This window comes from Homo sapiens, chromosome 12, assembly GCF_000001405.40.
Source record: "Homo sapiens chromosome 12, GRCh38.p14 Primary Assembly".
Lineage (NCBI taxonomy): Eukaryota > Metazoa > Chordata > Mammalia > Primates > Hominidae > Homo > Homo sapiens.
The window spans coordinates 17561376-17574896 of record NC_000012.12 but is presented as its reverse complement, the minus strand read 5'-3'; positions in this window follow the sequence as shown (position 1 = coordinate 17574896).

Genomic DNA, 13521 nt, shown 5'->3' with positions numbered 1-13521 from the left:
TGCCAGCTTCAGAGAATACCAATAATCTGCCAGAGGAACCATGCAAGTAAAGATTTTCCTTTGCCCTCATTTCTTTATATTTTCTTGCTCTGACTCTTCAGGTATTCCAAGATGACTAGCACAGCAGTGCATGGGGGTGGGATAGGGTTGTAAGAAAGAAGCTCAAAGCAGAGATTTGGAGAAGCAACAAATAACCACTTTACTACTGCCAGTTCCAATCTGAAGCAGTCACGCCCTAGCTAGTTAGAGACGGAAATATTTAATGCAAAATCAAACAAATGCTTAAATAAAGGAGCTTCAACCATGGTATGTGCCCCCTAGTACCATTTTAAGATGATGTTTTGAGGATGAAAGTTAGAACATTTGTTATTTCAATTTGCCAATGAATTACTATTTTCATATATTTTGGCCATTACAAATATGTGCTCTGGTTTTATTCTGTAATTCTTAACATCCAGCAAATTTTAGCCAAGCTGGGGACAGAAAGCAGCAACTATGACATTTTTTTCTTCTGGAAATAGTTTTATTTTTGCCAGCATTATTAAGAACATATTTGCTGGGTATATAATTATTGATCGGTAGCCTTTTTTTCCCCAGTAGTGTCCAGATATAATTTTAGCACTTTTTGGTTTTGATTGTTTCTTTGGGAAGTCTGCTATCATTATTGTTGCTAAGACAGCAGTAATATACTGCTTTTTTCCCAGGCTGCTTTGAAAATAATCTCAGTTTTCTTTTTGTTTTGCTTTGTTGATTTGTTTTTGTGTTGTGAGCACCTGGCCTAATTTTTTAAATTTATTGATTCAACAAATAAAAATGTATAAAATTATGGTATACAACATAAGGCTTAAAAATATGTATACATTGAAGAGTGACTAAATCAAACTATTTAACATATGTATTACCTCACATATTTATTTGTGGAGAAAACAGTTAAAAGCTACTCTTTTAGCAATTTTCAAGTATAATACAAAACATTGTTATTAACTATAGTTACTATGTTGAATAACAGATATCTTGAGCTCATTCCCTCTGCTTAGCTGAAATTTTGTATCCTCTGTCACCCCAATATCCCTCAACGCCAGCTTTTGCTATTGTGAATAATGCTGAAGTGAACATGAGAGTACAGGTGTCTCTTCAACATACAAATTTTGTTACCTTTGGTTATATAGCCAGTAGTAGGGTTGTGGATCATATATTAGTTCTAGTTTTAATTTTTTGAGGACCCTTCGCACTGTTTCCCATAAATGGTTCTCCTAATTTCCACTCGCCACAACAATGTGCAAGGATTCCTGCTTCTCCACATCCTAGCCAACACTTGTTATATTTTCTTATTTTGGTAATAGCAAGGTGTGAATTGGTATCTCAGGTGTCAGAGGATATCTCTGTAATTTTAACTTGCATTTTCCTGATGATTAGTAATGTTGAGCATCTTTTCATATATCTGTTGGCCGTTTGTATGTGTTCTTTGAAAAAATGTATATTCAGGTTCTTTGCCCTGTTTAAAATCTGTTTATTTTCTTGCAACTAAGTTATTTATTATACATTTTGGCTATTAACCCCTTATCAGATATGTGGTTTGCAAATATTTTCCCCCATTCCATGAGCTGCCTCTTCATTCTGTTTTGTTTCCTGTGGCAAAAAAAATTGTAATAAATTTAATGTAATACCATTGGTCCATATTTGTTTTTGTTACCTGTGCTTTTGGGGTCATATACTAAAAATCATTGCCCTGACCTATATCATGGAGTTTTCCCCTATGTAGTCTTCTAGCAGTTTCACATATTCAAATATTATCCTCAATCTTTAATTCATTTTTAGCTGATTTTTCTATATGATGTGAAATAAGGGTCCAATTTCATTCTTCTGCATGTGGATATCGAGCTTTCCTAATATCAAGTATTAAAGAGAATAAGTATCCTTTTCCCAATATCAAGTGTTAAAGATAATACATATCCTTTCCTCATTGAATGTTCCTGGCATCTGCCTTGAAAAATCAAGGGACCATAAAAGCATGGATATTTTCTGGGCTTGCTATCCTGTTCCATTGGTCTATGTGTCTGTTTTTGTGGCAGTATCATGCTATTTGGGTTACTACAGATTTGTAGTGTATTTTGAAGTCAGGTAGTGTTATGCCTCCAGCTTTGTTCTTTTTGCTCAAGATTGCTCTGGCTATTTGGATGCTTTAGTGGTTCTATATAAGTTTTAGGATCATTTACTCTATTTCTGAGAAGACTGCCATTGCCTTTTGGTGGGGATTACATTAAGTCTGTAAATCATTTCAGGTAGTATGCCCATTTTGACAATATTAGTTAAGTTTATGAATGAACATGGCATGTGTTTCTATTTATTTGTATCTTCTTCAATTTCTTTCAAAGTTTTATGTTTTAAATGTGCAGATCTTTCACTTCCTTGGTTAAATTTATTCCTAAGTATTTTGCTGATTTTGCAGGATTTTTAAAATGTAGGATTTTTCAAATATTATTGATTTTTCAGGATTTAGAAACCCTGCAAAATCAGCAAAATACTTAAGAATAATTACTAGGATTTTCTTGACTTCTTTTACAGGTAGTCAATTTTTAGTCTACAGAAAACCTAATGATTTTTGTATGCTGATTTTGTATCCCACAATGCTATTGAATCATTTATCAGTTTTAACAACTTTTGGTGGATTCTTTAGGGTATTTTACATATAAGATTATGCATTTGCAAACAGAGACAATTTAACTTCTTTTCTTCCAATTTGGATACTTCTTATTTTTTTCTGACATATTATTATGGTGAGTAGAGATAGTGGGTATCCTTGTCTTGTTCCTGATATTAGATAAAAACCTTTTCACTTTTTATCATTTTATATACTGTTAGCTGTGGCTTGCCATATATGGCCTTTATTGTGTTGAGATACATTTTTTGTATACCTAATTTGTTGAGAGTTTTTTTAAATTATAAAAGGATGTGGAATTTTGTTATTTTTTTCAGCATTTATTGAGATGATCATATGGTTTTTGTCCTTCATTGTGTTGATGTGATATATCACATTTATTGACTTTTGCATATTGAACCATCCATGTAGTTTTATGTAATGTGCCTTTGTGTGATTTTCTTTAGCTTCTTAGAGTTTCTTGAATCAGTGCTTGACACATTTCATTTGTTTTGTAAAATTTTGACCCTTATCTCTTTAAATTTTGCCTTCATTTGTTTCAACTTTCTTTTTGAGGTATAAATTACATGCAATTATAGATCTCTTCATAGTTTATGTTATGTTTTTTGCACTGTTTTTGTACTATACATTTTCTTGTTCCTTCATGCTTCAATTGGTACATTATAAATTAATAATTCTCTAGTTATTTCTAATGACTGTTAAAACAATCTACTGAGTTAATCTCAGCTATTTTATTTTTCATATAATTTCCAATCTCTTTTTAATGTTTTCAATTATTTGCCAGAAACTTAATTAACTAGAACATAGCATTCCTGATTTTATTTAAATATATGTTTAATTATTTCAATCTTTTGATTAATTGTAACAGATATAAAATCACTGGTTGTTGACTCCTATTATACATAGCTACCAGGCTCTAACGAAGAAAATACCCCATCTCAGGGAATGACACCTCTAAGATGTTGCAGACTGTCACTCTTCTTAATGTTAGATAATGTTTCTGTGACAATCTGACATAATTACACATATGGTTACAGCGTCTTGTGTGTAGTAGTAATGGCAAAGGTTGTGTTTTTTTATGCCTGATCCACATGATATTCTGGAAACAAATTAGTGTAATTTGTTTTTGGCATATCTTACTTCTATTAAAAATTTATCCCCTGTAAAATATGGGATAATATTCTTGTCAGAATAATGTCTAATTTACAAATAAAGGATAAACTATTGAAAAATAGGAGCTCCAATGTGAGGCATTAGTTACAATTATAATTCACAAATGTTCGGATAATTGTTATTTCTCTATCTCTAATAATTTTAAGTTGTAATTTTTCTTAACTTCATCATTTGACTCAGATTAACATAAGCCCTGAGATTGTGTAGTGATTGGACAAGTCCCTTATAATTTTAAGATAATGGAAAGAGTTCTTATATATTAAAATTAAAAATGTGAAATGACTAAAAGTTCTAATAGGAACTTAGGTGTGAGTGAGGAAAAAGTAAAACTGAGAAAGATTTTAATCTGTCCTTGACCATAACGTCTCCCATTAAATGAAGAAATATAAAGAAAAATAATAAACATAGCATTTGCACATTTGCAAGCAAATGATCATGTAGTCTTCAACATTATAACATATTTGTCACTTGTTTTGCTCCTACTGTGTGTTAGGCATCATTACAATCTCTTCACAGTTCTGTGAGGAAAGTATTATTGCTTCCCCATATTTTGAAATGGAAAAATTAATGCTGAAAGACATTAGGTGTTTTTTTCCAGTTTAAACATTTGATAAAGGAAAATCAGTTCACCAGACCAAATTGCAATAGGCTAAAGTTTGTGACCTATGCTTCAAAATCTAGAATCTAGAGCCAGTGACTTACTAAGAAAAATATAAATATGATTTCTTAATAATTTAGTTAATAATTTGCTTATGTGAAACAGTAATGTTAATATACCCACATTTTATGTTATACTGTAAAAATACAAAGAGATTTTCTATGATAAATTTTTAAGTAATACATACTGAACATACATAAATTTTAAAAAAGAATAATTATAGGATAAAATTAAAATTTACAGCCTACACTGATTTAAATGTTATCACTTTAACTGCTTTAAAACACTGTTTTAGATTGTGTGCAGTACATATTTTCGCTTAAAAGCAAATTTGCATTAAGAGACTGTGGCTTCTATAAACTAATTGACTTCAAAAAATATAGTGCAAGGAGACAAACACTCAAAAATATTTCTCTATTTGGAGACTTCGAAGTACAAGTATATATCAAAATTATTTAAGAATATAATTTTCATTGGTAAATTACATAGAAATAAGTACAATCACATACAGGAACATAAAGCTATTTATTTCACATAAACTGTATACATATCCAAGGGATATTTTAAAATATATTCGAGTGTTATTGGGGTATGGTAGTGATTTAATAAAAACTGAAAATATCGGGTAAGATATTTTAAAAATGTAAATGCCTTGACATACCAATGAAGATACCACGCCATTAACTGAGGAATATGATTAACTCAACTTTCTGCACCTGAAGTCTGAAGAGGGTAAACAGAGATACAGATTTTTAAGTTTGGATACGGAAATATATTAAAGCTATGTTGTTAATTAAAGAGTATTATATGTGTATGTGTATGAATGTGTGTGTTAGCTTTTATCGTTATATATTCTTCAATGTACCTTATTTCTACTTAAGGCAGAAAACTTCTTTATCTGTGTTTATCTCAACATTATTTTATGTTATTACTGCTTTTCTTTTCTTTAATTTTACATTGTTATTGCTTCCCAAACATAAGTCAGTCAGCATATTATCTTCAAAAATGTTGCCATATCTATCCATATTCATCTTACTTATAAGCTATACTTTTTACCAAATTTTTCTTTACATTTATTTACATTCATCACACTACATTTATTTAAAAACAAAATACATATAACCCTCATCCACAGAAATCCAGCATTACTTGCCATAAAACCATAGTCACATGAATAAATACAATGAACTTAAGATATATAAAGCAAATATTTTAAAATCATCAGGCTATAGATAAGTTCATGAGAAATAAGGAATTCTTTAGGATCAATAAGAAAATAAGGATGTTGATACTCATTGTTAGCATAAGTGGAGATGAATATGACATTCTTTATTAATAAATAGCTGCTTTTAGGTTTGATTTTAAATAGCCCTAGGAATCCTTAAACACATAAAAATGTAATAAGGATGATGAGAATATTTTCCCACCTACTCTGATAGGACTAGAATCTTTGAATGAATGACTAACCAAATCATGCAATATGTGACGTTGAGTTTGAGAAGTCGTCTGCATTGTCAACATTTGTTTGTCTTTTCTGAATATACCTACAACTTTTAAAACTACCGTATGCTTCTATGGTTGAAGAAAACCTAAGACTCAACAAATGATCCTGTAAGTCATCTAGGTCACATATCTATTTAAGTGTACTTAATACTAGTACTGAGTTCTTTCCAGGTCTACAGTTGGCTTCTGAGCTACCAGGATGTGCTGCCTTCATAGTTGCTGATTTGAAAACAAAGTATCCAGCTTTACTAAATCTCCCTAGAACATCTAGAAACTAGCTAGAGGTACTTAGTCTAGCTAATGACCAGGCAGTCTTCATGATATTTCTCTGCCTAAGAAAGCTTGGACCTCTAGTACCAGTCCTGTGGGCTCTCTAGCCTGCCCTGGTAAGACCTTGCTAGCTTAGCCCTGTCCTTATAATCACACTCTAGGTATGTACCATGAATACTTAGCGTAAAGATTAAAAAAACACATGTGCCTTACATTGGTCCACTCCTTCCATATTCTCTTTTTAATTTATCATTCAAGTCATTTTGGGAAACACATAGAATTTAGATATAAAGTATCAAATATTGCTGCTTATACTTTTTTTTCTTTTTGACTTTATGTAATATTCTCACTTTTTGCTTTTAGTATTTTTGTCCAAGTTATTAATATATTTTCAGAGTTTTATAACCTAATTTCTCTAGTTTTTTGATTTTATACTTTACTTAGAGATGTGTGTGGGTGTGGGTGTGTACCTGTGTAATGTTTAGAAAGATATCCCTATGCTTCATCCAAATCATTCTGAGCAAACTGTCGCAAGGACAGAAAACCAAACACCGCATGTTCTCACTCATAGGTGGGAATCGAACAATGAGAACACTTGGACACAGGATGGGGAACATCACACACCGGGGCCTGTCGTGGGGTGGGGGGAGGGGGGAGGGATAGCATTAGGAGATATACCTAACGTAAATGACGAGTTAATGGGGGCACCACACAAACATGGCACATGTATACATATGTAACAAACCTGCACTTTGTGCACATGTGCCCTAGAACTTAAAGTATAATAATAAAAAAACAACAAAAAAAGAAAGAGATCCCTTTGCAATCTTCCAATGGGATTGAGGTTTTTTGCCCCTTTGTATTTTTGATATATCTGTACTTTCCTCCTTTGTCTAATAATGAGTATTTTTCTATCATCATATATGTCTGTCATATTGCCTGTTCTTGATATGTTAAGCGATTATCATACGGTGACTAGTAAAAAGTCATGTCTCTTCTACTTTATAATATTTCAAACACAAATTCACGCCACGTTCCTACTCTTTTCAAACGATTAATTCAGACTATCACCAAATACGCATAAGTACGTATTCAGCCATTCATATTACTAATTTTAATTCTAATTATTAGTTTGGATTTGTCATTTTCAATGGCATTTCATCTCTTTACAGATACATTTTAAAAGTTATCTACCAATTAGAACTCTCTCATATGCAGAAAAGTTTCCATTTTCTGAACAACTTTTCTCTATTACATTAGATGCACAAAAATCGTGTGACAAAATCCACCACTCACTCATGATGAAATACTATCAATAAACTTGGAGTAGAAATAAATTTATTCCACCTGATGAAGGTCATCTTTGAAAAATGTACAACTAGCATTATACTTACTGGTAATTTTTCCCTCTAAGGATAGAAAAAGGCAAAGATCCCCAGCCTTTATACATCTATTTACCATTTTACTATAGCTTCCAGTCAGTATAATTTGGCAATAAAAAAAAAGACATTCAAATCAGAAAGGAAAAGATACATCTGCCTTTATCTGCAAATGATATAATTCTGTACATAGAAAATCTAAAGTTGTATACAAGAACTACTAGAACAATAGTAATAGAATAACAGAAATAATAAATTATTTCATCAATGTAGTGGGATGTAAGCAACATACAAAAATTAATTGTACTTTTATATAGTAGCAATGAACTCTACAAAAATGAGATTGAGAGTAACTTCATTCAGTGTAACATTATATAGAATAAAATGCTTAGGAATGAATTTAACAAAGTATACTCAAGATCTATACACTGAAAACTACAGTACATTTGTAAGTGATATTAAAGAAGACTTAAAAACAGAGACAATACATTTTTCTGTATAGGAGGACTCAATATTTATAAGATGGCGATTTTCGCCAAATTGATTTATAGTAGGTTAAAAGCAATTTATATCACAATCTCAGTATACTTTCTGGCAGAAATTGCCAAAATAACCTTGAAATTTACTTGGAAATGCAAAAAGACCTAAAATAGCCAGAACAATTTAAAAAATAAAAAAGCTGAAAGACTATACTTTCTGACTTAAAATATTGTGTAGAGCTGCAGTAATCAAGACAGTGTTGTGTTAGAATAATGGTAATCATACAGACTAATGGAAAGTAATTGAGAATCCACAAATAAACCCTTACATTTATGATTGGTTATTATTTGACAAAGGTGTCAAGCTAAATCATGAGTAAAAATCAGTCTTCTAGACATGCTGATATTGAATGTGTACATGCAAAAATGTGAATTTAACTCTTAACTTACAGCACCTACAAAAATGAATTATAAAAGATAATATACCTAAATGTAAAACTAAAGTTGTTTCACTGTCAGAAGAAAACTCACAGAAACATCTTCATAATCTTGGATGAAGCATAGTTCTTAGATAAAACACCAAAAGCATGATGTGCAAATGAGAAAAAAGGTCTATAATTAATTAATTAAATTCTGAAATATAAAACTTGCATGCTTCAAAAGACGATATGAAAAGTTACAATCTGAGAGAATATATTTGCAAATAACATATCTGTTAAAGGACTTCTATCTAAAAGATGTAATAAACACTTAGAACACAAACTGATCTTTTTTAAATGAAAAAATAATTTCAATAAATACTTAACCAAAGAAAATATACAAATGCCTAATAAGCACATGAAAAGATGCTCAACAAGTCATTAGGGAAAAGAAAAATTTACTGTGAGGTACTACTTCTTACCCACTAGATTGGCTATATAGGAAAACACAGATAATAACAAGTGCTGACAAGAATATGAAGAAATTGAAACCCTCATGTTTTGCTTACTGGAATGTTAAATGGTGCATTCACTTTGAAAAACAGCCTGGAAATTCCAAAGAAAGTTAAATATAGTTGCCCTATGACCCAGCAATTCACTCCTAGTTATATACACAAGAAAAATGAAAATATACATTCACACTAATACTTGCACATTAATATTCAAAGCATCATTATTTGTCATAGCCAAAGAATAAAAAAATATGTCCATCAAAAGATGAATGGAAAAAGCAAAATGTAACCTATCCATTCAAGTCCTAGGATAATGATAAGCCTGCAGGTCAATGGAACAGAACTAAGAGTCCCAAAATAAAACCTTACATTTATGATTGATATTGCAAAGAAACCAGGTGATTCCATGAGGAAAGATAGGATTTTCAGAAAATAGTGCTGATGTCATTATATAATATCCCTTTTGTCTTTGGTAATTTTATTTGCCCTTAAATGCAGACAATCAAAAGGAAGCAGGATTTGCTATATTAATGTCAGATAGTGTGCATTACATGTTTGTTCTACTCTCTTACTTTCAAACTGCTTATATTTTTATATTTTAAATTTCATTTTTGATTGAAAAATAATTGTATATATTTATGTTACAATGTGATTTTATAATATACGTTTACATTGCAGAGTAATTAAATCGAGCTGATCAACAAATATAACACCTCGCATACTTTTTTGCAGTGAAAACATTTAAAATCTACTTTTTAATAAATTTTCAAATATAATTGAATTGGGTTACTTCCAGACAATATATTCTTGCTCTACACGTTTTGATCAACTTTTCTAATATCTGTATATTAATTGGTATATGTAACCATTTAAATTTGATTTAATTATTACCATATTAAAGCCTAAGTTTGCTATTTGATGTTTTATTGTGGTGCATTAGATCCCGCGCCTGGCTCAGACGGTCCTACACCCACGGAGCCTTGCTCACTGCTAGCACAGCAGTCTGAGATCAAACTGCAAGGAGGCAGCAAGGCTGGTGGAGGGGCGCCCACCATTGCCAAGGCTTGAGTAGGTAAACAAAGCGTCTGGGAAGCTCGAACTGGGTGGAGCCCACCACAGCTCAAGGAGGCCTGCCTGCCTCTGTAGACTCCACCTCTGGGGGGCAGGGAATAGCCAAACAAAAGGCAGGAGAAATCTCTGCAGACTTATATGTCCCTGTCTGACAGCCTTGAAGAGAGTAGTGGTTCTCCCAGCATGCAGCTGGAGATCTGAGAATGGACAGACTGCCTCTTCTAGTGGGTCCCTGATCCCTGAGTAGCCTAACTGGGAGGCACCCCCCAGTAGGGGCAGACTGACACCTCACATGGCCGGGTACTCCTCTGAGACAAAACTTCCAGAGGAACGATCAGGCAGCAACAATTGCTGTTCACCAATATCTGCTGTTCTGCAGCCTCTGCTGCTGATACCCAGGCAAACAGGGTCTGGAGTGGACCTCCAGCAGACTCCAACAGACCTGCAGCTGAGGGTCCTGACTGTTAGAAGGAAAACTAAGAAACAGAAAGGACATCCACACCAAAAACCCATCTGTATGTCACCATCAAAGACCAAAGGTAGATAAAACCACAAAGATGGGGAAAAAAACAGAGAAGAAAAACTGGAAACTCTAAAAATTAGAGCGCCTCTCCTCCTCCAAAGGAATGCAGCTCCTCACCAGCAACTGAACAAAGCTGGATGGAGAATGACTTTGACAAGTTGAGAGAAGAAGGCTTCAGACAATCAAACTACTCTGAGCTAAAGGAGGAAGTTCGAACCAATGGCAAAGAAGTTAAAAACCTTGAAAAAATATTAGATGAATAGATAACTAGAATAAACAATGCAGGGAAGTCCTTAAAGGACCTCATGGAGCTGAAAACCACAGCACAAGAACTATGTGATGAGTGCACAAGCCTCAGTGGCTGATTTGATCAACTGGAAGAAAGGGTATCAGCGATGGAAGACCAAATGAATGAAATGAAGTGAGAGGAGAAGTTTAGAGAAAAAAGAATAAAAAGAAATGAACAAAGCCTCCAAGAAATATGGGACTATGTGAAAAGACCAAATCTACGTCTGACTGGTGTACCTGAAATTGAAGGGGAGAATGGAACCAAGTTGGAAAACACTCTGCAGGATATTATCCAGGAGAACTTCCCCAATCTAGCAAGGCAGGCCAACATTCAAATTCAGGAAATACAGAGAACACTAGAAAGATATTCCTCCAGAAGAGCAACCCCAAGACACATAATTGTCAGATTCAGCAAAGCTTAAATGAAGGAAAAAATGCTAAGGGCAGCCAGAGAGAAAGGTTGGGTTACCCACAAAGGGAAGCCCATCAGACTAACAGCTGATCTCTTGGCAGAAACTCTACAAGCTAGAAGAGAGTGGGGGCCAATATTCAACATTCTTAAAGAAAAGAATTTTCAACCCAGAATTTCATACCCAGCCAAACTAAGCTTCATAAGTGAAGGAGAAATAAAATACTTTACAGACAAGCAAATGCTGAGAGATTTTGTCACCACCAGACCTGCCCTAAAAGAGTTCCTGAAGGAAGCACTCAACATGGAAAGGAACAACCGGTACCAGCCACTGCAAAATCATGCCAAATTGTAAAGACCATCAAGGCTAGGAAGAAACTGCATCAACTAACAAGCAAAATAACCAGCTAACATCATAATGACAGGATCAAATTCACACATAACAATACTAACCTTAAATGTAAATGGGCTAAATGCTCCAATTAAAAGGTACAGACTGGCAAATTGGATAAAGAGTCAAGACCCATCAGTGTGCTGTATTCAGGAAACCCATCTCACGTGCAGAGACACACATAGGCTCAAAATAAAGGGATGGAGGAAGATCTACCAAGCAAATGGAAAACAAAAAAAGGCAGGGGTTGCAATCCTAGTCTCTGATAAAACAGACTTTAAACCAACAAAGATCAAAAGAGACAAAGAAGGCCATTACATAATGGTAAAGGGATCAATTCAACAAGAAGAGCTAACTATCCTAAATATATATGCACCCCATACAGGAGCACCCAGATTCATAAAGAAAGTCCTGAGAGACCTACAAAGAGACTTAGACTCCCACACAATTATAATGGAAGACTTTAACCACTGTCAACATTAGACAGATCAACGAGACAGAAAGTTAACAAGGATATCCAGGAATTGAACTCAGCTCTGCACCAAGTGGACCAGAGAGAGATCTACAGAACTCTCCACCCCAAATCAACAGAATATACATTCTTTTCAGCACCACATCACACCTTTTCCAAAATTGACCACATAGTTGGAAGTAAAGCACTCCTCAGCAAATGTAAAAGAACAGAAATTATAACACACTGTGTCTCAGACCACAGTGCAATCAAACGAGAACTCAGGATTAAGAAACTCACTCAAAACTGTTCAACTACATGGAAACTGAACAACCTGCTCCTGAATGACTACTGGGTACACAACGAAATGAAGGCAGAAATAAAGATGTTCTTTGAAACCAACAAGAACAAAGACACAACATACCAGAATCTCTGGGACACATTCAAAGCAGTGTGTAGAGGGAAATTTATAGCACTAAATGCCCACAAGAGAAAGCAGGAAAGATCTAAAATTGACACCCTAACATCACAATTAAAAGAACTAGAGAAGCAAGAGCAAACACATTCAAAAGCTAGCAGAAGGCAAGAAATAACAAAGATCAGAGCAGAACTGAACAAAATAGAGACACAAAAAACCCTTCAAAAAAATCAATGAATCCAGGACCTGGTTTTTTGAAAAGATAAACAAAATTGATAGAACGCTAACAAGACTAATAATGAAGAAAAGAGAGAAGAATCAATAGATGTAATAAAAAATGACAAAGGGGATATCACCACTGATCCCACAGAAATACAAACTACCATCAGAGAATACTATAAACACCTCTACGCAAATAAACTAGAAAATCTAGAAGAAATGGATAACTTCCTCAACACATACACCCTCCCAAGACTAAACCAGGAAGTTGAATCTCTGAATAGACCAATAACATGTTCTGAAATTGTGGCAATAATTAATAGCTTACCAACCAAAAAAAGTCCAGGACCAGATGGATTCGCAGCCGAATTGTACCAGAGGTACAAGGAGGAGCTGTTACCATTCCTTCTGAAACTATTCCAATCAATAGAAAAAGAGGGAATCCTCCCTAACTCATTTTATGAGGACAGCATCATCATGATACCAAAGCCTGGCAGAGACACAACAAAAAAAGAGAATTTTAGACCGATATCCCTGATGAACATTGATGCAAAAATCCTCACTAAAATACTGGCTAACTGAATCCAGCAGCACATCAAAACCTTATCCACCATGATCAAGTGGGCTTCATCCCTGGGATGCAAGGCTGGTTCAACATATGCAGATCAATACAAGTAATCCAGCATATAAACAGAACCA